General features: G+C 40.2%; 1 protein-coding gene, 1 long non-coding RNA gene and 1 pseudogene across 21 annotated transcripts in view, besides 2 other annotated features; 2 read left to right on the forward strand and 1 right to left on the reverse strand.

The window, feature by feature from the left end:
- LOC107984965 (uncharacterized) overlaps nucleotides 1-9,221 on the reverse strand; it is a 45,543-nt gene extending 36,322 nt beyond the window's left edge. For both annotated transcript variants that reach the window (XR_001738097.2, XR_001738096.2), the window contains exon 1: nucleotides 9,139-9,221. This is a non-coding gene — a long non-coding RNA (uncharacterized LOC107984965). The remainder of the gene's footprint in view (nucleotides 1-9,138) is intronic.
- Nucleotides 1-24,173, forward strand: part of PATJ (PATJ crumbs cell polarity complex component) — a 421,436-nt gene that overhangs the window by 279,508 nt on the left and 117,755 nt on the right. For all 19 annotated transcript variants that reach the window (XM_011540462.4, XM_011540467.4, XM_011540464.4 and 16 more), the window contains one exon: nucleotides 15,990-16,062. In XM_011540462.4, the coding sequence (XP_011538764.1) occupies nucleotides 15,990-16,062 (73 nt within the window). The remainder of the gene's footprint in view (nucleotides 1-15,989; nucleotides 16,063-24,173) is intronic.
- On the forward strand, nucleotides 16,824-17,399 carry LAMTOR5P1 (late endosomal/lysosomal adaptor, MAPK and MTOR activator 5 pseudogene 1; annotated as a pseudogene).
- Nucleotides 17,391-17,993: an enhancer, noted in NCBI's record as "H3K27ac-H3K4me1 hESC enhancer chr1:62505050-62505652 (GRCh37/hg19 assembly coordinates)". NCBI's record gives its function as "activates a minimal SCP1, AML or CMV promoter by ChIP-STARR-seq in naive H9 embryonic stem cells {active_cell/tissue: H9 hESC(naive)}" and the evidence as "EXISTENCE:reporter gene assay evidence [ECO:0000049][PMID:30033119]".
- Nucleotides 23,346-23,875: an enhancer, noted in NCBI's record as "H3K27ac hESC enhancer chr1:62511005-62511534 (GRCh37/hg19 assembly coordinates)". NCBI's record gives its function as "activates a minimal SCP1, AML or CMV promoter by ChIP-STARR-seq in primed H9 embryonic stem cells {active_cell/tissue: H9 hESC(primed)}" and the evidence as "EXISTENCE:reporter gene assay evidence [ECO:0000049][PMID:30033119]".

Here is a 24,173-nt window from a genome sequence, read left to right on the forward strand (position 1 = left end):
TCTCTGTGCTTTTCCATTATACAGAAAATTTTGGCTTTTATACCTTGACAACTGTTTTTCAAATGTATTGACAATTGAGATGGAAATGGGAACTGGCCACAGGTTTTAGAGAACGATTAGCAGTAATCACAGAAAGCTATTAAAATATGCTGCAGGCAACATTTTAATTAACTAAGGCCTTTAGTCTATAGCAATGTACATTTTGTAATCAGGTCCTTGTCATATTCTTTTAACACTTGTATTTATTCATATACTAATTTATCTATAATTGGCAAGGGGTCTGTGTGTCATTAGCACAAATCAGCAAGTTGCAGCTATTTATACATGACTTACATAATCACTTTTTCCCTTTTGCTTTTCGCATCATTAGATTTTGGATAATCCTGGAAATTGTACCCTAAACATATGGTCCCTGATACACTAAATTATTCAACTCTGGATCATCCAGATGTGTATTACAATCTGGGTGCTTGCTATGTACTCTACATTCAATTCTGTGGGTTTTCGTGTTTGGCATTCTCCCCTTCATGTGAGCACACCAATTTAAGTACAAGAGGAGAGCTGTATTAACACAACAAATGAATTGCTGTATTTGGCAGTGCAGGGATCCAAGGAGATTAATGATCTTGCCTGCAGCTCTTGTCGTACCTTCCCCCACTATCAAAAATTGAATGTCATGTATAACAACTCACTCTCCATTACTTAATTACATGTGGAAAATGTGTACTGTGTAAAAACTCCTGGGGCTAAAGGAAACGAGATGAAACTGAAATCCTTGGAAAGATTTAGTGCTAGCTGTCAAGCCCCACTGAGTAAAAGTGGACTCACCATGGGCTCCACCTTCCTGTATCGATTGAACATATGTCTTCCTTTTGTAATTAAAAATATAGTGTGGCTCGTTATCCTCTGGCCATATCCCTGAAAGATGATATTGCTTGAATTAATGTGAATGCCAGAGTCATCTTAAGGAGATGACCATCTGAAGAAGCAACTCGGATGCCTATTTTAAAAATCCTTCTTGGCTGGGCATGGTGGCTCACACCTATAATCCCAGCACTTAGGGAGGCCCAGGCAGGCAGATCATCTGAGGTCAGGAGTTCCAGACCAGCCTAACCAACATGGTGAAACCCTGTCTCTACTAAAAATACAAAAATCAGCTGGGCGTGGTGGCGGGTGCCTGTAATCCCAGGTACTTGGGAGGCTGAGGCAGGAGAATCACTTGAACCCAGGAGGTGGAGGTTGCAGTGAGCCGAGATCGCGCCATTGCACTTCAGCCTGGGCAAAAAGAGTGAAAGTCCATCTCAAAAAAAAAAAAAAAATCCTTCTTGTGCTCTTGATTCATTAGATCTAGTTTTGGTAAACAGGAAAAAAGAATGCATGCATAAGCATGAGTTTAACTTTCATAAAGAAACATTCATTCATTTTTTTAACAGGTGTTTACAGAACACCTACTTGTGTTAATGCTGTGGAGTCAGTGATGGAAAGAACACAATTTCTGTCTGAAAGGAGGAGACAGAGAATAAACAATAGTCTAGTACCTTATCCAGTGATATAAGTACTGTGATGCTATAGGGACATATAGGAGATGCATCTGATGTAGTCTTTGGGGCCCATGGGAAGATATCACAGAGAAAGATGCTTAGGCTAAGACTCGAAGGATAAGTAAGCAAAGTCATAGGATGTATAGAAACCCAAAGATTCCACAATTGGATACCCAATCAAAATACCTGGACATTTGCTTCTAGGAGAGAAGCAATCCTTCTTTAGGAAAGTATCATTGAGTAAGTATAACTGTGTATGTCAATCATTTTGAATTCTGTAAGGTAGCATGATGTCGGCTGCAGATTTTTCAGAGATGGCTCTTATCATTTTGAGGTGTTCCTTTAATGCATAGTCTGTTGAGGGTTTTTATTATGAAGCCATGTTGGATTTTATCAAAAGCTTTTTCTGCATCTATTGAGATGATCATCATATGATTTTCGCTTTTGATTCTGTTTATGTGGTGAATCACATTTACTGATTTGTGTGTGTTGAACCAGCCTTGCATCTCAGGAATAAAGCCTACTTGATTGTGGTGTTTAGCTTTTTGATGTGCTGCTGAATTCGGTTTGCTAATATTTTGTTGATGATTTTTGCTTTTATGTTCATGAGGGATACTGGCCTGAAGTTTTCTTTTTTTGTTGTGTCTCTGCCAGATTTTGGTGTTAGGCTGGTGCTGGCTTCATAGAATGAGTTAGAGAGGTGCCCCTCCTCCTTGATTTTTTTGGAATAGTTTCAGTAAGATTGGTATCAGTTCTTCTTTGTACATCTGGTAGAATTCAGTTGTGAATCCATCTGGTCCAGGGCTTTTTTTGGTTGGCAGGGTTTTCTTTAATTACCAATTCAATTTCAGAAGTTGATATTGGTCTATTCAGTTTTACTCTTTCGTGGGCAGAATTGGTAATTTTTTCTTTGCTACGTCCATTCCTTAATATAATACCTGCATATATTAGCTTACAGGAATTATGCCTACATTTGTTTCACCTCTTTTGGCACTCAGAAACAACTAATTGAGATGGTCATCAGGGATGACATGAGCTTGCTTTTTTTCTTTTTTGCTGGTCAATATTTATACTATTTGCCCAGTGGAATTCCTGTTTCCTTGGGTAGACCCCCACTTCCCACCTCCCAACACACACACACACACACACACACACACACACACACACACACACACACACACACACACAGTGAAACAATACATCTAGATGCCTGTCTCCCTCTGTGGAAGGTGAAGGAGCCAATTCTTTCTCTCACTGCCAAAGTGTGGCCAGCGGGTGTTCAATGTGTCTTACATTTTGGCAATATGATACCTTAGGCATAGAATTGGAAGCAAGCAATGTGAGTGACTTGATACGAATGGTGTTTATTCATAGAGCCACAGTGCCCTGGCCAGACACTCCTGCTACATCATTCTGTTTCCTACTTCCTTGTCCTCTGGAAGTCTCTTAGTTCCCAACTGTCCCAAGCCTGATCCTATAGCCTATCAATTTTGTGAGAGCTCAGTATCCCTCCAGTAAATTTTCTTTTGCTTAAGTTGGCCCAAATTTATTTTTATTGCTTACTGTCAAAGAATCTTAATGAACAGATAAGAAATAGAGCTATCTGAACAAATTACGAGCAACCAGAGTGAGACATTTGGTTTCCTCTGTGCATCTTCCTGTCACTTGTAAGCTTTTAGCCTTAGAATTCTGAGTTTTTCATCCTTCAAACGACTTTAGCAGAGTATAAAGCCTCTGAACAAGTCTCTACTGAGGATCTCCTGCATCACTCATTACCATTGCCAAACCGTTGCTGGCTCTTGAAATGAGATTACCATGATTATCAAAGAGGAATCAGGCAGGATTTGTCCCAGTTTGTCCCTGAGGGTGAGGATCCCAGCACATGGCCTTATGGTGAGGGCTGTATATTAAGGTCTGTGTATCTGAACGTTTAGGATTTGCCAGCCAGGAATAAGAGGGGAATAGCTGAGAGTATCTATGGTACTATCTTTTAGAAAGACTCTCTTGGATGGCTGGGCGCAGTGGCTCATGCCTGTAATCCCAGCACTTTGAGAGGCCAAGACCGGCTGATCACTTGAGGCCAGGAGTTCGAGACCAGCTTGGCCAACATGGCAAAACCCTGTCCCTACTAAAAATGCCAAAAAATTAGCTGGGCATGGCGACATGTGCCTGTAATCCCAGCTGCTCAAGAGACGGAGGCAAGAGAATCACTTCAACCCAGGAGGTGGAGGTTGCAGTGAGCTGAGGTAGTGCCACTGCACTCCACCCTGGGTGACAGAGAGAGACCCTGTCTCAAATAGATAAATAAATAAATAAAAGGCTCTCTTTGATAAACTTATTAGGCCAAGTCATCCATTCCATCCAGTCCTAAGTTCCCCACATCAACTCCCCTGCCAGCCTGCACTGCCAAATATTTTATGAGCCACCTTTTCCTCGGCACAACTGGTGACAATTATTTAGAACATGCCTCAGGCCTCCTGTGTAGAATGTGGGTCTAGAAACTGCTTTCTCCCAGCAGCCCTCATTAGTAATTGACATTGTTTGAAGGGCCAAGTAAATAGAACTCATTATTCCACTGTCAATGGACTTTTATTTCCGATTTGACATACTCAGCTATTTTGGTAGTTTCTTCTAATTGTGAATTGGAACTGTTTACTCTGTTCATATAGTTAGGAATATCTCCTGGAATCTTTTTGGAAAGGAGTTTTCCCATTGAGATAGAATGATTTGCTTTGTTTTGTACATTACTTCTGGTTCATTTACATGGAGCTTTCCTGGCTGAATGTTAATTCAGTGTCATGTTCCAATTAATACAGGAAGTATAGAGATTACTTTTTACTATCCTGGAATGTCTCAGATGACTAGATTTAGTATAATCAGAAAGCAATATCCAGGCCTGGTGAGTTGTGTTGATGTGTTCATTTATTCAACATTTGTGTGTGTGTGTGTGTGTGTGTGTCTGTGTGTGTGTGTACATGCACCTAAATGATGTACCAGGCACTAGATTGTAGTTGTAATCATTTTAGAACAAGTTGCAATAAATAAAGTCAGCCTGCTCAACAATCCAGGCTGAATTCAGGCACATAACTTCTGCTTTTGATAAAACGGTATTTTGTTGGCATAAAATGAGATCCTATGGATTTGCTGAAAGGACGTTTCCAAGAGGCAGGCCCAGAGCATGCTGAAGACAATCATGATTTTAAGTGACATTCTAAATAATTCAAACATATTTTCATCACACTTTCACTTCTTTTCTTGCTCAGGTAATTTTAATTGCAATGAAATAAACATAACACAATTTCACCATAGGACCCAGCAACTCTACTTGTGGAGTATATATCCAAAATAATTGAAAGCTGGGTCTGGAAGAGATATTTCTATTTCCGTGTTCATAGCAACATTATTTGCTGTAGCCAAAAGGTGGGAGCAACCGAGTATAACATATAACACAAAAGGTACCATCTTTACCATTTTAAGTGCACAGTTCAGTGGCATGAAGTACATTCACACTGTTGGGCAACCATCATCACCATCCATCTCCAGAATTATTTCATCTTCCCAAACTGAATCTCTGTATACATTAAACAACAACTCCCCATTCTTCCCTCCTCTCAGCCCCTGGAAGCCACCATTCTACTGTCTGTCTCTGAATTTGACTGCCGTAGGTACCTCACATAAGTGGACTCATGCAGTATTTGTCCTTCTGTGACTGGTATATTTCACTTAGCATGTATTTTCAATGTTCATTCATGTCACAGCATGTGCTAGAATTTCTTTTTAAGGCTGAATAACGTTCCATTTTATGTATGTGCCATGTTTGTTTATCCACGCATCCATTGATAGGTACTTGGGTTGCTTCCACCTTTTGGTGACTGTAGATAATGCTGCTATGAACATGGATATACAGATATCTCTTCCAGACCCTGCTTTCAATTCTTTTGGATATATACCACACAAATGGAATTCCTGAGTCATACAGTTATTCTATTTTTAATTTTCTGAGGAACCTCCATACTGTTTTCCATAGTTGCTGTACCATTTTACATCCCTACCAACAATGTACACAGGTTTTAATTTCTTCATAACCTTGCCAACATTCCTTTTTTTTTTTTTTTTTTTTTTTGGATAGTATCCATCCTAATGAGTGTAAGGTGGTATCTCATTGTGATTTTGATGTGCATGATTTGCACTTTCCTGATGGATTAGTGATATTGAGCATCTTTTCATGTGCTTATTGGCTTTTTGTGTGTTTTCTTTATAGAAATGTCTATTCAAGTCCCTTGCCCATTTTTTTAATGAGATTGTTTGTTTTGCTGTTGTTGAGTTATGGGAGTCTTTACATATTGTAGATATTAACCACTTGTCAGATATGTGATTTGCAAATATTTTCTCCTGTTTCATAAGTTGCCTGTTCACTCTGTTGATTGTGCCCTTTGATATACACAAGGTTTTTTATTTTGATGTCCAATTTATCTAATTTTGTTGTTGTTACCTGTGCTTTTGGTGTTGTATTCAAGAAATTATTGTCAAATCCAATGTCACAAAGCATTTCATCCCTATATTTTCATCTAAGAGTTTTATAGTTTTAGCTCTTATATTAAGCCCTTGATTCATTTTGAATTTATTTTCATATATGGTATAAAGGAAGGCTATGACTTCATTCTTTTTTTCCCCTCTCTTAGAGTTGAGGATCTCTCTATGTTGCTCAGGCTGGAGAGTAGTGGCTCTTCACAGGCATGATCATAGCACAGTTTGGCCCCAGACTCCTGGCCTCAAGCCATCCTCCCACCTCAGCCTTTTGAGTAGCTAGGATTACAGATGCACCCCATCAGTGTAACCTTCATCCAGAAGACTTCATTCTTTTACATGTAGATATCCAGTTTTTCCAGCACCATTTGTTGAAAAGATCATCCATTCCCCCATTGAATGGTCTTGGTGTTCTAGTTGAAAATCCCTTAATCATATACAGGGTGAGTGTGGTGGCTCACGCCTGTCATCCCAGCACTTTGGGAGGCTGAGGTGGGAGGATTGCTTGAGCTCAGGAATTCAAGACCAGACTGGGCAACATAGCGAGACCTCATCTCTACTAAAATTCAAAAAGAAAATTAGCCCAGTGTGGTGGCACACACCTGTGGTCCCAGTTTCTTGGGAATCTGAGGTGTGAGGATTGCTCTAGCCCAGAAGGTCAAGGCTGCAGTGAGCCATGATCATGTCACCCACACTGCTACCTGGGCAACAGAAGAAGACTGTGTTTAAAAAAAAAGAAAAAGAAAAGAAAAGCCAGAAATGGTAGCCTGTACCTGTAGTCCCAGCTATTCAGAAGGCTGAGGTGGGAGGTTCGCTTGAGCCTGGGAGTTTGAGGTTTCAAGTCTACAATGAGCTATGATCATGCCACTGCACTCCAGCCTGGGTGACAGAGCGAGACCCTGTCTCAAAATACATACATACATACATACATACATACATACACGTATACCAGGGTTTATTTCTTGGCTGTCTGTCCTATTCCATTGGTTAATATGTCTATCTTTATGCCAGTACCACACTGTTTTGATTACCGTAGCTTTGCAGTAGGTTTGAACATCAAGGAAAGGTAAGACCTTCAACTTTATTTTTCTTTTTCAAGATTGTTTTGGCTATTTGGGATGCCTTGAAATTCCCTATGAATTTTAAGATGAAACACACTTTCTTGCTTTTAGAAGAGGCAGAAATGCTTCTTAGGAATATCTCATATCCTGATGAAGTGATGGCATTCTACAAACATACACACACTGCCTGTTACATTAGATGTCTTATTTTTCATCATTCATAAATTGTCATCATGGGCTTGTTGTGTTTCCCTGAAGCATGAGTATGTTCTCCTCATGACCACTAATTTTTCTTTTGGCAACAATTTACAGTGTTCTTTTCGAGTTTATATTAGAGTATCCCATATTTATCCTAAGGAATTAGTCAAGGGCTATCAAATAACATGTTAATGAAATCCCTTATTACAGTTTGAATTATGGTTACACCTTTGAGGGATAAAGAATAAATATATAATGTTATATCAACAAAGTGCTGTATATGACATATATGTGCATCCAAAAATACAGTGAAATACCCTTAGAAGAATAGAATGAAGTTACTGAGACAAGCCACATGAGCAGTTTAGAAATTCAAAGGAGCAAGCGATTGCTGTTGGAGAAGTGGGTACAGCGAGAGTTAGTTAATATTTAATACTAGCTAGGTAGACTTACATAGGAAAGAACTGAGTCCAAATGGCATCAGCAAATTCATGATTTACTGAGTACCTCCTGTATGTCATATGCCATAAAAGGTCATACAGTTAAGTAAGAAGTTCTCCAGCAACTACAAAGACATGCAAATAAGAAACTATACATCAGGCAAAACAAACATCCATAGAGGGAACTCATTGATGTTGGGTTATTTTCAGGCTCGGTTCCAGTGGGTAGTTTTCACAGTTGAGAGGGAGCAATTTGGATGGATTCAGATGCAGAGAAAGCAGAACAAGAAAACAAGTAGTGATACTGTTGTCATAGACCAGGCAACATGAAAAGGACATGAATTAGGATGGAAACTGTGGGATTAAAAGAAAAAAGAAGAATAAAGCCTTTAGATTAAACCATTAGACTCAGCGGTGTTTTAAATTTTTTGGTTGATGGCTGAATGAATTAATAGCAACCGAGGATGTAGCACCTGGAAGTTTAAGCATTTGAGATTTAACATCACAAAGCCATAAAACATTAAATATTTACTTCTGTTAGTGTGCTTTGGCTTTGACGTTTACATTATCTCATAACAATTCTATTAATATTAGACATTATCCCAATTTTAAAGGTTGAGAAACCAGGGTTTTAAGTTGTTTTGTATCTTATTTATATCTTATCAGTGATAGAATCCATACCTTTGCTTTGGTGTCTGTGCCTTTGCTTATATTCATTTCCAAGCCAACATAGTTGTCTTGTACTACACATTATCATGGATTTATTTTTAATTGGGGTATAATTTATACTCAGTGCAATAGATTTTATGTCTTAAGTCTATTGAGTTTTGATAATTGCATACACCTGTGTAACCTCCACACAAAACAAAAATATAGACTATTCGTTCACCTCCAAAAGATTGCTGGTGTCCCTTTACAGTCACTCTCTCCTTCTCCCAAGAGCCACCTGCTTCCTGATTTCTGTCACTATAGGTTAGTTTCAACTGTTCTTAAACTTAATGTAAATAGAATCAAACAGCATTTATTCTTTTGTGTCTGGTTTCTTTCATTAACATAACATTTTTGAGATTTATCCATGTCGTGTTTATCAAAAGTTTGTTCCTTTAATCACAGAGTAATACTTCACTCTATGAATATACAAAAATTTGATGATCATTCTCCTGTAGGTGAACATTTGGGTTGTTTCCAGTTTTTAGTTACTATGAATAAGGTATGAACGTGGCTTTTTAAAAAATTATTGAATAAACTTGTATAGAGCATGTTAGAATCAGGGTAGACACAGTTATGCTTCAGTAACAAACAGCCCCAAAACTCATGGCTTAAGACAACAAAGAAATAAACAAAGGTTTATTTCTTTCTCATGTTACATACCCGTCAGGGTTCCTTACTGAGCCCTCTGTTCACCGTGGTCATTCACGTACCCAGGCAGCAGAGGCTCCTTCTCAGCATTTGTTTCCATGATCACCAATGCAGAAACAGGAAACGTAGCTAATCAAGCACTGGTTCACCTTTAAAGAGGAAGAAAAGTTGAAGCTAGAGGATTTATGAACAGCCCTAATATCTATCCCAGAATAGTACTGAGGAAATTACACTCCGCTGTAATATTCACCACTATACCTGCCCCATCACACAAAATGAAATTTTAAAGCATTTTATAGTCATTATATCTCTATAAGGGATAGGTAATATGTTAATAGATAAAACACCCAGGACCCACATATGAAATGTGGACAGATTGCAGTTAATACAGTGAGCAGACTTAGAACCTTGCATGTATTTTTACCCCAAGGAAATTTATTAAATAATTTAAAAAGTAATAGCCCAAAATTTAATCGCCTGGACTCACCTAGGGATTTTAACTTGCGTATATGAGAGAAGGAGACATCTGTGGCTCTGGATAGGCTATGAAAATGGGAAACACTGTAGTATAGTAGTTAAGAGTAGGTTTTGAAACCAGATTGCTGTTTTTGAACCTCAGCTCTGCTATTTGTCAGCTTTGTGATTTATAAGCTGTGTGACTTTGGTCAGGTTGCTTAACCTTTCTGTAAAACCAAGAGAAAATGAAAAAAATAATTCTAACTACTACCTAGACTTGTTATGAAGGTTAAAATGAGTTAATGTATGTAAAGGATTTTGAACAATGGTACCTGGTAAGCGGTCAAATGTTATGTTTCTAGTTATATTTCCGGTGACCATGTTTTCCAAATCAAAATTTGTGTCATGTATTAATTTTCTCTTGCTATGTGACAAATTACCAAAATTGAACGGCAGAAAACAATACCTGTTTATTGGCTCACAGTTGTGTAGGTCAGAATGCTGGCATGACAAGCCATGGCTCAGTTCTCTGCCCAGGATATCACCAAGCTGAAGTCAAGGCGTTGGTCAGGCTGAGGTCTTGTCTGGAGGCTTTGGGGGAAAAGTTGCTTCCAGGCTTATTCTCTATTTTCTTGCTGGTTCTCAGGTGGGGGCTGCTCTCAGCTCCTAGAGGTCCCCCACAGTCCTTGTCAGGAAGCCCCCTCCATCCTGAAGCAAACAATGGTGCTTCCAATCTCTGACTTCCTAGGCATTCCACAAAGAATTTAATTGGTTTAGAATTCATTTAAGTCAACCTACTAATTTAAGGATTTAGGATATGAGGTTCTAAGTGAAATCTCCAGATTTGAAGGGCTTGTATGATTAGGTCAGGTCCAAACTGATAATCTCCCTTTATCTTACAGTCAGCTGTGACTTATCATATAGTTTAATTATGGAAGTGAAATTTGTCTGTAAACTGGGGGCAGGAATTTTGGGAGACTTGTTAGCATTTTGTCTAACACAAGTTATATGATTTTTACCAATGTGAGTTTCATTTTTATAACAAAGCAGAATTCAAATCAGGATCCAGAATGTGTGTTTTCCACAAACATAAATATATTCTACAAACAAGAAGCTGAATTAGAGGTATTCTTAGCATGCTTTTGGAGAAAAACTAAATTGAGATCCCTTGAGTAGTGTATTAGTCTGTTCTCACACTGCTATGAAAATACTGAGACTGGGTAATTTATAAAGGAAAGAGATTTAACTGACAGTTCAGCGTGTCTGGGGGGGCCTCAAGAAACTTATAATCACGGCGCAAGGGGAAGCAAAGCACCTTCTTCACAAGGCAGCAGGAAGGAGAATGAATGCATGAGGAACTACCACACACTTATAAAACCATCAGCTCTCCTGAGAACTCACTCACTGTCACAAGAACAGCATGGGGGAAACTGCCCCCATGATTCAGTTACCTCCACCTGGTCTCTCCTTTGACACGTGGGGATTATGGGGACTACGATTCAAGATGAGATTTTGGGTGAGGACACAGCCAAACCATATCAGGTATTAATGCCACAATTGTAGTTGTTCATTTACTTAGCTGCATTCTTCACTAATTGCTAATATCATCAAAGGCAAGAATGGTCTTTTATCCATTTTTGTGTACATAGTATAAATATTTGTTAAATAAAGAAATGTATATATTCAAAATAAAATCAAAGCTATGTAGTTGAGTTTCAACCAATCAAAGTAACCACCAGCCAGCTTAAACTAAAAGGAGAATGTATTGTAAGAGTCCAGATGCCTCATGGACTCTTAAAAAAGGATCCATACAATAAGGCTCCAGAGATGGAACCAGGGCAGCTCTAGAGATGTCAGCAGAAGGGAATTCTGAACCCCTGTTTATCCTTGAGCATTCCCGTTGGTAGTCTTCACATTGCACTCCTGATCTTTATATGTCTCTTCTAAATGTTAAGCCTCTGGGAGAGAGAATTTGCCCCAGACTGAGGCAGGCATCTGCCCCCTTTATCCAATCTGCTTGAGGGCAGGGCTGTTAGTACCTAGTGTAGACATTTTGGCCCATCCGAGGAATCACTGTGAGCTAGGTGGACACCCCAAGAAATGGCCCTTACATGAGGTAAATACTGATAGCTGGCCGACTACAGGCAGCACAGCCTCACTAACTCATGGAAACAGCTCAGAAAGCATGGGGCGGTTTCCGTAATTCTGGTTTCTTTTTTCTGCCTTATTAAGATCACTTTTGTTCAACAGACATTTACATCACAGTACACCTACTCCCTGCCAGGTACCACACTACAAGCTGGAGATACGAAGTAATAAGATCTCATCCTTGTGCTCAGAGTGGGAGAAAAACCAGCACAAGTAATTTTAACAGAGCATGGCAAGTACAGCAATGAGGACACACATGCAGTGTTCCGTGCTCTGGAAAACAGGTCTCACCCTTATCTGTGGGAAAAGTCCGTTATCTCTCTCCCAGCAGCTCTTAAAGATAATTATAAAAACACCCACAAACAATTACAATTCCTGACTGTGTTCTCTTTGAGGCACTGGGGCCTAAGAAACTTAGGCTAATTATATGGAAAGGAAAGTTTCACCCGGCTTGATGGCTCACACCTGTAATCCCAGCACTTTGGGAGGCCAAGGCGGGCAGATCACTTGAGGCCAGGACCTCAAGACCAGCATGGCCAACATGGTGATACTCCATCTCTACTAAAAATACCAAAATTAGCTGCACATGTTGGCACACGCCTGTAGTCCCAGCTACTCGAGTGGCTGAGGCACGAGAGTCGCTTAAACCTGGGAGGTGGAGGCTGCAGTGAGCCGAGATCGCGCCACTGCACTCCAGCCTGGGCGAGAGAGAGAGACTCTGTCTCAAAAAAAAAAAAAAAAAAAAGCTTAATTATAAAGCAAACAGATATCATTACTTATGAGAATCATAGGATATGAGGGCTCAAAGGTTCTCCAGATGTCATCCAGGCCCCACTGCTTGTCTGAAGTGTAAATGCCTTCTCTCCTTTGGTTGCCGTCTTCCTACTTTTCTCTTTAAAATAGCAGCTATGTCAGCTCTCCATGGCTTGATGCTGAGGGATGTGACCACTAACCATTAAGTAGATGATAAAGGATTATGAACTGTAACTTCTTATAGCAGCTTTCTTCTTTTCAGTGAGAGTAATTGTCGGTTTTCTATTATGTAAGGTTAAAAAAATTTAATATGGACTTTAAAGGCCATTAAAGTCATACTAATTTGTGAAAAAATCATTAAATTGTGAAGGAATAACTTGGCCAATTTGAGCTAACTTGGTTCAGTTCATCACGATCTCTCAATAAGAATTCATGTACAGCCATATTTTTAATGCCGGTAACCTTTGAAAGAGATATGAAAAGTCACCTATTTAATTACTGCCAAGTATACTCTGCGCTGTGAGTTCCAGATCTACAGCAGACATGGCCTGTTGGCTTTCGGCCCTAAGCTGAGCTTTATTGTGGTGTTCAATGGGAGAAATTGAGTGGGAAAAGGAATTATGACTGGGAAAATACTGTTCTTTACCCACAAGTGATGGATTACTTTTTCTATATGTGAGCAAACTACTGAGGAATGGATTGTACTCCCTGAAAAACAATAGCTAAGCCATCTCTTAACATAATAGTGTCTGCTCAAGGCACCTGAAATGCAGTCAGAAAAAACAGATGCGCTTGATACGCTATGTCACTTTATAGTTGTAGTTTTTCTCCCAATTGCTTTGGTTTGGTTCACGCCTAGATAGATAGTCTAAGAATCCAAAAAGCATAGAGCTTGAAATGGCACCTAGACTTCATGTCTTTATTTATACTGTGCTTCATTCCACAAAAAAAGTAACCAATTTAGGATTCTTAATAGTTAAGCTACTTACTTAAGGGTTTTAGAAACTGAGACTCTGAGAAGTGATTTCCCCAAAGTCACTCTGTTAGTTAGCGGCAGGGCTGGAACTGAGACTCCTACTTTTCTGTATCCTTATTGAAGAGAGTTGTCATTACATCCCACCCCAACCCACCCCACCATTCATTCATTTTTTTTTTTTCAATAACTATGTTAAGCACAAACACTTGCCAGGCACTGTGTTACCCCTAGATAGTGTCATAGGGAGTAGGACGGACATGAGTCCTGTCCTTGGAATGCTTCCCACCCAGAGAGAAATTCAGATTTGGAGCAAATGTTCACACAGATCAGTTAGGTAAAATATGAAAGGAGCAGACCTATAACAGCAATCATTGTCTAGGGTGCTATGAGCATATTAAGAAGGTCCTGGAAGGCTTGTTTTAGGAAATGACGTTTATGATGAGCTGTGAAGGAGAAATAGGAGTAAATCAGCCAAAGTATTTGTCAAGCAGAGCAGAAGAGAGTGGGGTAAGAGAAGACCCTGAGGCGGGTAGATCTCAGCTCAGCTAAGAAGTGGAAAGAAAGTCTGTGCAGCTGGACTGAGGCATAAGTGAGCAAGGGGAAGAAGCACTAGAGGGGGCCAGAGATGGGGGCTGGGACCTCAGAGCTTCCTTATCGACTTTGCTCTTGATCCTAAGTGCATTAAGAAGCCATAAGAAGGGGTTAGAAATATGATCAGTTTTATGTGTTAGAATCATAATAACTTTGCTGGGTGGAGAATGGGTTGGAGAGAAGATGTAACTGGGTTGCTCTTACATGCCGGTGAGAAATGATGATGGCTTATAGATAGGATAGGATGGAAAGAAGTGGAAAGATCCAAGATATGTTTTGAAGGTGAAATTCATGAGACTTAGTGGTTGGAAGTACAGATGAGGAAGATAATTTTCAAGAATGACCCCTGTTTCCTGGTTGAACAACTGGACAGATGTTGTTGACATTTACTCTGGTGGAGAGAATTGGCTGTGGAACCATATGGTGAATGAGCGGGATAAAAAAGGTCTATTTTATTTGAGATGCGTGTAAGACATCTAGTGGAGATATAAAGTAACAGTTGGGTACACAGGTCCTAGTCCTAAGCTCAAAAGATTTAGGCTAAATATGTGAATTTGGAAGACATCCATATATACAATAGTCTTTGAATTTAAGGGAAGGGAATAATTCACCTAGTTAGAGGTCATTGAACTCACATTGGAGGGGAAGGATGGGTGGGGTATAAATTAAATAAAGAATACAAAAATTAGCCAGGTGTGGTGGCACATGCCTGTAATCCCAGCTACTCCGGAGGCTGAGGCAGGAAAATCGATTGAACCCAGGAGGTGGAGGCTGCAGTGAGCTGAGGTTGTGCCGCTGCACTCCAGCCTTGGTGACAAAGTGAGACTCCATCTCAAAAAAAAAAGAAGGAAGAAAGGAAGGAAGGGAGGGAGGGAGGAAGGGAGGAAGGGAAAGAAAAAAGAGAAAGAAAGGCATTTCAAGAAAAGGCAGTGACATGATTAAATCACCAAGGGAGGAATGGTCTCCTAATCCAATTGGTGAAAAGTAAAGCATAAAATGGGGTTGGATTTCGAATGCCCTCCCAAGTCAGGCAATAGCTCTTCTATATACATGGGTCATATGGAGAGAAATCTGCGAACAGTCTAAGAACTTTACATATCAGCAGGAAGCATTGATTGTGAGCTTCCTTGGTTTATATTGTGAAACATAAAATCAAACTTCACATAAATCTTGAGATAATTATGTTGGTTGTGCATCATAATGGGTATAATGACTATAAAGGATAGTCATTATCTCCCACAGACCACTGCCAACCATTTGCTAGTAATGTGGTGAAAATAGGTCCAGATAATCAGAACCAGTATTATAGGTTCTGATCACCCTGGTGATGAGGTTTCAGCTGCCATCTACTCTACTCCATTGGGATGAGGAGGAGGAGAATTCACCTACCCACAAAGCATTGTCTGTCTGGAGCTCTGCCCTCCCCCTCAATCACTCCTCCTCATACTCCACCTTGCAGCCCTATTGTAGACACCCCATCATCCTTCATTTGGCAAAACAAAGTTAGAAGCCAAGTGAGGAGGCTGGGATCCTTTCCAGTTCAAAGAACAAAACGCCCCAGACATTAATGGGGCCTAAAGGTTGCACATGGCCATTTGAAAAATTTATACTCTGCAGTGCTGAAAGAGCCAAAGCCTTTCCAAACTTATCCTCTGCAGCACCTGACTTACTAAGTGGGATTTGAGTAACTCCTAGCATCATCACTCTTTGTCACTAATAATTGCATCTTAGTATCCTTTGAGCTACACATATTTTTTATGCATAGTAACTTTGCATGCTTGGAAGCTATATATATGGAAGCTATATATTTATATATATATATTTAATTCTATGATGCTGTGTGTGCATTTTCAACTGAGAACTGAGGAAGTATTTATAATTTGAGCCAGGAACTTAGCATTTACTGTGTACTGATTCTGCCTATTTTAACACTTCACAGAAACGAGGATGCAGTCAATCAGATGGCCGTTACTCCCTTTCCAGTGCCATCAAGTTCTCCATCTTCTATTGAGGTAAGGTTGTTTCTAATTAGCTCTTAGTATATTAGATGGATTTGTCATGAGCATTTTCCCCCAATCTGACATTTTTGATATTCAGTATTTGGTATTCCAAACTCGTGGAAAATTTCCCTAACCAAAATGGAAAGTATTGAGGTATTGATTATAAAGTAACTTTTTAAGTAAATATATTAGAACCTAACCATATAAGTATTACCTTCCTCAAAGTTGCTCAAGGTCTCCTCTAAATATATAATTTTGTCCTAATTGAGCATTTCAGAATTTACAAGAAAATTCTCTTTGTTTATGACTGAATTGTACCCCTTTCTTTATGGTTTTGAAATACTTTAATACCTGTGATCAAGGTGTCTTTAAATAATTGCTTTCATCTGTGAATGGCGAAATTACTAGCATAATAAGATTGCTGTAATATTGGTCAGCTTCTGGAGTAGATAGATAAAGAATTGTGTAATCAGTTTGTGTCCCCAGCTGAGGGGATATTCCTTCTCTTCTCGTTTTATATTAATTGAATTATTTTTTAACTCCAAAAAGAAATACATACTTATTGTTACTAATTAAATAGTGCAGGGTTATTCAAAGAAATCTTAATTTTTCTTTCACTACCTCCCTAAGGAAGTTAACGTTCACTATTCAGTATCTTTTCATACTTTTTTCTTTGTTTCTACAGTAAACATAAATAGCTATATATAGTGTCCCTTTTAATAAAAATGTGATTGTGCAATACACATTATTTTTATTCTTTCAACACGTGTTCAGGGTTCTGGGCCGGGGTGGACGGTGGGTGGGATGGAGGCGACCTTGGAGCAGCGCATAGAAGATACAATGAAGAATCCCTCCATTGTTGGAGTCCTGTGCACAGATTCACTTAATCTGGGTTGCCATGGGACCCTGTCAGATGAGCATGCTGGAGTGATATCTGTTCTAGCCCAACAAGCAGCTGAGCTAACCTCTGACCCCACTGATACTCCTGTAGTGTGTCCAGCATCAGATAATGGGAACATTATGATCCAGAAGCATGATGGCTTCACAGTGGCAGTACACAAAATGGCCTCTTGATGGCTCGTATCTGTTCTTCAGCAGCCTGTCATAGGAACTCCATCCTACCTTTGTTAATTGTCTTGTAGAACTACTAAAGTTCCAGTAGTTAGGCCATTCATTTAATGTGCAGTGGGCACTTTTCTATTTACTTAAGAGTAAATTGCTTTTTAACATTATGGACTGACCTATCAAAATATTAGTAAGAAAGGATCATGTTTTGAAGCAGTTGGTCCAGGTCACTTTGTGTATAGAATTTTGCTATATCCAATAAATCTGTTTGGAGGAAAAAAAAACAAGTGTTCAATGAGTGCATATTATTTGTTAAGCACTCTTTTAGGCATTAGAGATCTAGGTGTGAATAAAACTAAGGCTTCCTACCAATTTGTTATCATCTTTCTCTCTTCATGGTTGAAGACACAAAGATACAAATTAAGAAATAAATAAACCAAAAGAATTATCATATAGTGGGCAGTGCCTTGGAGAGAATTAACGTGGGGAATGTGACCTCTTTCCTGAGTTACAGAGAAGGCTACTTGTGTAGCCGAAACACAGGTTATCAAGAAGGGGGTCTGGTATAAAGAAGGTGATTTATTCCAAAGCTAGCTTTGGGGAAGGAGTACAGGCTTCCTGCTTTAAGGGTAACTGCTTCGCTTTTGGAGCAGAAACCTGGCACTTTTAAAAGGCAGAGGAGGAAATGAGCAACGGGGAGGTCCATGTGCTAGCTCCGGTGCCTTATCTACTGGGCAGTCGAGCTGGTGACTGCTGGTGCCTTCTTGTGCAGGACTAGGCCAAAAACTCGCCAGGTGGGACAGAGTTTCATATCTCTCGAGGCAGTCTCCTGGTTGGGGGGTGGGGGCCCATAGAAATCAGCTGTTATTGATCCAGCCAACCTCCTGGTGAGTGAGGGTTCCTTTCTGGATCTCTCCCAAGCACATAGTTAGATGAACTTGCTCTCTAGGGAGCATCTGGTGAAGGGGAGGTAAAAGGCGATACTGGCATTTCTTTCTTCCTCTTTCTTCCTTTTTTTTTTTTTTGAAATGGAGTCTCACCCTGTCACCCAGGCGGAGTGCAGTGGTGTGATCTCGGCTCTCTGCAACCTCAGCCTCTCGGGTTCAAGCGATTCTTCTGCCTCAGCCTCCCGAGTAGCTGGGATTACAGGCGCACACTACCACGCCTGGCTAATTTTTGTATTTTTAGTAGAGACGGGGTTTCACCATGTTGGCCAGGCTGGTCTCGAACTCCTGACCTCAGATGATCTGCCCGTCTGGGCCTCCCAAAAGTGCTGGGATTACAGGCATGACCCTATGTTTGCATTTCTAAAGGGCTGAGTAGGAAGTGGGGAACTGGGGGAAAGAGGAGAGAAGAGAGAAAAAAATAATTATCTCTTAGAAAAATGGGAGTACTTGGTTACACTTGGGCAAGGTAAAATTTAAATAAGATAAAAATTAAAAGAAAAAGCCAGACATTCAAAAATAAGAGGGAGGAGCCTTCCCTGCTGAGAGGACAGAAATAGCTCTCAGGTGAGAATGAGCTGGGGCGTGTTTGAGGAATATGGCTGGAAGCGTCTTAGAAGCTGGGAGAGCAGTGAAATATGAGACAAGAGGGAGAGAAAGGCTGTGTAAGTCAGAGTTAGAAGGTTGGGTTTTATTCTAGATGCAGTAGAAGCCACTGGAAGGATTTAAACAGGGGAGTGAGGTGACCTGATACATAGTTTTTAAAGGATCCATTTGGCTATTTAGGGGAAGAAAAATAACTTTTTTCTTCAACCCTCATAGGTTCTTAGTTGGAATGGACCCTTGAAACAAAAGATAGATTAACAAGAGCAAAACAAACAGAAGTTTAATGACATATGTGTTTCTTATATACATGGCAAACACTCAGGGAATGAGTAGTTCTCAATGAGATAGATTTAAATTCTAGCTTAAATAGCATCTTTAACAAAAATGGTAAATGTTTAGAGAAATGACAAGACAAAGGAAGAGGACTTTGTCTCTAGGGGTGGCAACTTGAGGGAAGGCAAACAACTGGCAGATAAAGGCTAGTTGGTATAGCTTGCTCATGTAGATTCCCCTGGTGCCATCTCCAGGGGATAAACATTCTGTGTTACCTTCAGGGGTTAACCTTTGCTCTCCCTGATTCAGAGGGAGGGGGATACCTTTGTCTTTATATATGTATGTCCTGCTTTTAGACAAATAGAGGGAGAGCAGAGGGTTTTCCTGCATCTGCTTCTTCCTAATTGCCTTCAGCTCATGGATCCTTCCTTTTTAGAGTGGCATATTCTCATCTCCCACAGCTGCTAGGTAGGGAGTGGGTTGGTGGGAAAGTAATATGGTAAAAGGCAAAAGCTCCAGTGAGGCCCTAATGTGGCTTGGATGAAGTGTTGGTATTGGAAGCAATGAAAAGTGAGCAGATCCTTGATGTTTTGGAGGTTGAGTCAAACTTGATTAATTAAACGAGGGAGCTGAGGGGAAGTAGAGAGTCATGGATAAACCTAGATTTTTGGCTTGAGCAACTGGGTAGATAGTGGTACTATTTACTAGAGTCTTTCAAAGAATAGCTGTTCTGAAAATTTAGAAGACTGATTTTATTTTTAAAACAAGCAGGCTAGTATGTAAAATAAAAAGTACAAGCTAGTATGTAAAATAAAGCAGGCTAGGCCGGGCGTGGTGGCTCACGCCTGTAATCCCAACACTTTGGGAGGCCGAGGCGGGTGGATCACGAGGTCAGGAGATCGAGACCATCCTGGCTAACATGGTGAAACCTCCTCTCTACTAAAAAATAGAAAAAATAGGCTGAGACAGGAGAATGGCGTGAACCCGGGAGGCGGAGCTTGCAGTGAGCCGAGATCGTGCCACCGCACTCCAGCCTGGGCGACAGAGAAAGACTCCATCTCAAAAATAAATAAGTAAATAAATAAATAATAATAATAAGAAAATAAAGCAGGCTAGTATGTAAAAAATATGTAAAGTATAAATAATGCCAGTCTTAAGTTTCAAGAACATTATCACGTATCTTAATCAAATTTGTGTGCCATTATTTGTATTTCATTTTCAAAAATAATGAAATCACATTAGGCATTTAAATGTATAAATAAATAATAAATCCCTTTCTCTAACAGCATATGCTATGCGGGCGATGTTTCTATTGAACCATCACAATTTGATTATATTCTAGAGAGGGCTTTTTAGTTCCACTCTGGACTGTTGGCTGTGGTAACTGCTACCAAATGATGAATGCCACCCCTCCTGTGGGCGGTATGTGAAGAGGACGCATATCCCTGACCACTTTCTCTTCCTTTCCCATTTGCCTATGTGGACCCTCTTAGTATATCTTTTTCCCCCTTAGATGTTTCTATTGAGTACTAAAGCATAACTCATATCCAGCATATGGCTAAAAGAGACAGCCCATTCAAATCATAACCAAATAGATGAAATAGAGCCATATCATTATTAAATTGGACCTGATAATAATAATTCAGTATTATTAAGTAGCAGTTTTATTATATGTTAATGGTATCTCATATTTATTTCTTTGTTCAGCAAATGCTTATTGAGCTATTTTTTTAAAAAAAAAGACAAGATCTTTTTCTGTAGCCCAGGCTAGAGTTCTGTGGTGCTATCATGGCTCACTACAGCCTCAAACTCCTGGGCTCAAGCAATCCTCCTGCCTCAGCCTCCCAAGTAGCTGGGACTATAGGCACGTACCATCATGCTTGGCTAATTTTTAAATTTTTTGTAGAGACAGGATCTCGCCATGTTACCAAGGCTGGTCTTGAACTCCTGACCTGAAGCAGTCCTCTCACCTCAGCCTCCCAAAGTGCTGGGATTACAGGTGTGAGCTACCGAGCCTAGTGTCACTGAGCTCTTATTATGTGTCAATGTTCTAGACCCGAAGGGTATCGCAGAGAACAAAATTGTTTCATGTAGTTCTGTGCTAGTTGAGTGAGCAAGAGTGCTAATAAAACACTGAGCAAGAATTCTGACTATGTGGGTTTTGGTTTTGGCTCTACCAATTACCTGTGGGCATACAACCTTGGTAGAGGCAGTTAACCTCCCAAAGTCTGTCTTTTTCTGTAAAGCCAGGTTAATAGCCTCCTCTGCCTGTGTCAAAGGGTAGTTATGAGGGCCAGGTGTAAAAATATTTTATTCCTACAGCTATATATATTTATAAGGGATTATGATGCAGTGCTTGTGGTAATTATAATACCATTGGCACAATTCTACAGCATAGTGATGTGAACATAAGCTTGGATGTCAGACAGAGCCAAGTCTCAATCAGTGTTCTACCATTTACTAGCAGAGTGAACTTGAGCCAGTTATGCTCTATAAACTTCAATTCCTCACATTTAAAATGGGTTTGATAATAATAATTAATTCTATGGACTTGTTAGAAGTATTAAGTAATGTTTATAAAAGGCTTAGCACTATTCCTGGCACATGATAAGACCTCATTTTTGTTGTGATTGTACTTATATTATCACAGCCCTCTAGTAGAACTCCCAGCCTCCAGCATCTTCCATTTTTAATAGTTACATACAAAACAGGATTTTTTTTCCTTTTAAAAACTAAATTGATAAAAATTGTATATATTTATCATATACAACATGATGGGTTTTTTTGTTTGGTTTTGGTTTGGGGGGGGCAGTTATTTTTTGAAACAGGATCTCGCTCTGTTGCCAGGCTGGAGTGCAGTGGCATGATCTCAGCTCACTGCATCCTCGACCTCCCAGGCTCAAATAATATTCCTGCCTCAGCCTCCTGAGCAGCTAGGACTATAGGCACGCACCACCATACCTGGCTACTATAAGATTTTTTTGCAGAGACAGAATCTCACTATGTTGCCCATGCCCAGTCTGCTGGGCTCGAGAGATCCTCCCACCTCAGCCCCTCGAGACAGTGCTGGAATTACAGGAGTGAGCCACTGCACCTGGCCAACATGATGTTTTGAAATATGTGTATGTTGTAGAATGGCTAAACAAGATAATTAACATATGTATTTCTTCCCGTACTTATTTTTGTGGTGAGAACAGTTGAAATCTACTTTCTTAGAGATTTTCAAGAATACAGTACATTGTTGTACATTGTTATTAACTGTGGTCACCCTGCTGTACAACAGATCTCTAGAACTTATTACTTTAACTGAAATTTTGCATCCTCTGACCAACATGTCTTCAACCTTCACCCCATCCACCAGCCCCTCCCACTACTCTCTGCTTCTATGAGTTCAACTTTTTAGATTCCACATTTAAATCCCAGAGGGTCTGAATTTCATTCTTTGGTTTCGGAGCTGTTGAAGGCATTTTGAACAATGAAACAATCTGATCAAGGCTGTACTCCAGAAAGATTAGTCTAATAGCAATGTTAAAGACATCTTGAAGAGGGAAACCCAATTAAGAAGCCATTGCTGTCGTCTAGTAAGAGGTACTGAGGGCTCAAATAACTTGGGTTCCGACATACTTATTCCATTTATTGACAGGACAGCCTAAATCTTTTAGAATATCTTCAATACAAACAAGGACCTCCTTTTTGCTTTCTTAGAAGTTGTGTTTTTTAAAGTACTAACTGAGATGGAACAGGCCTCATAAAGATCAGGGAGGTTGATCATGCAGGGAGTTCCATTAGCATAATTTCCATTTTATTTTAATTTTGCCTTGCCTTTCTAGAATTCTGAGCAGCCTAGTAAATAAGCTCACGTTTGGGGTTAGAAGAAAGAAATTCAGTTTGTCACATGTGGTAAACAAGGTTTTGCAGAGGGAAATATTTGTGAATTTAGGTTGGCGATGAGACTAAAATTATTTTGTGTGTTTTCTAAAAGAACATTGGATTTAGAAAATATGGGAATGGGCCAGGCACGGTGACTCACGCCTGTAATCCCGACACTCTGGGAGGCCGAGGCTGGCGGATCACCTGAGGTCAGGAGTTCAAGACCAGCCTGGCCAACATGGCGAAACCCCGTCTCTACTAAAAAAAATACAAAAATTAGCTGGGTGTGGTGGCGTGCGCCTGTAATCTCAGCTACTCGGGAGGCTGAGGCTGGAGAATCACTTGAACCCAGGAGGCGGAGGTTGCAGTGAGCTGAGATCGTGCCATTGCACTCCAGCCTGGGCAACAACCGTGAAACTCCGTCTCAAATAAAAAAAAAAAAAAGGAAATGTTTTTTCAATCCACAATAACATCCTTAACGAATTTAACTTTTATTGAATGCCTACTCTCAAATAAAATAGCATTCTTGCTATCAAGATTCGCTGTTCAGTTTGAAGAAAATTATAGACAAATGGTGGATATAAAAAAAAAGGAGTTTAAAATAATAAGCATTATCACTTCTGCAATCACTTATGTGGAAGATTTTGGGAGAGCCCAGGGGAGGGAATTTGGAACTTCCTAAAGGTCTGAAAAAGACTAACCTCAGTAGGGGTTGATCTGCAAACCTTACAAGTCTTGCCTTTTCTGTTTGTTCATCTACAAAACATAATTGACTGTGGAATCCACTGACTGTGATCTCATAGGGAGAAGTTGTTCTCCTTAAGCTGCCTGGCTGAGCAGGCAGCTTTGGACAGGTGGTTTGAAGATCAGCAAGAGACGACAGGAACACCCAGCCATCCGGATTAGCTGAGTCATCTTGGGTGTCAACTGGCCCCCATCCGTCAGCCAGATGGTCCTCAAACCACTCTAATTCACTCGTGCCTTAGAAATCACGCTGCTGACCTGTTTTCCCTTTCCCATATCAGACTCTTGGCTATTTTCCAAGCTCCTGGTGAGTGGGGTATTTTGAAGACTCCTTACCTCATGAGCCATTCTGTTCTCAGAGCAGAATCCACATTGTTGTGGCCAGGCACAGGGGCTCATGCCTGTAATCCCAGCACTTTGGGAGGCTAGGACCGAAGGAGTGCTTGAGCTCAGGAATTCAAGACCAGCCAGGGCAGCATGGTGAAACCCTGTCTCTACAAAAATTACAAAAAATTAGCCAGGCATGGTGGTGCATGCATGTAGTCCCAGCTACTTGGGAGGCTGAGGTGGGAGGATCACCTGGGCCCAAGAGGTCGAGGCTTCAGTGAGCTGTGATCATGC

Source organism: Homo sapiens, chromosome 1 (genome assembly GCF_000001405.40).
Source record: "Homo sapiens chromosome 1, GRCh38.p14 Primary Assembly".
NCBI lineage: Eukaryota > Metazoa > Chordata > Mammalia > Primates > Hominidae > Homo > Homo sapiens.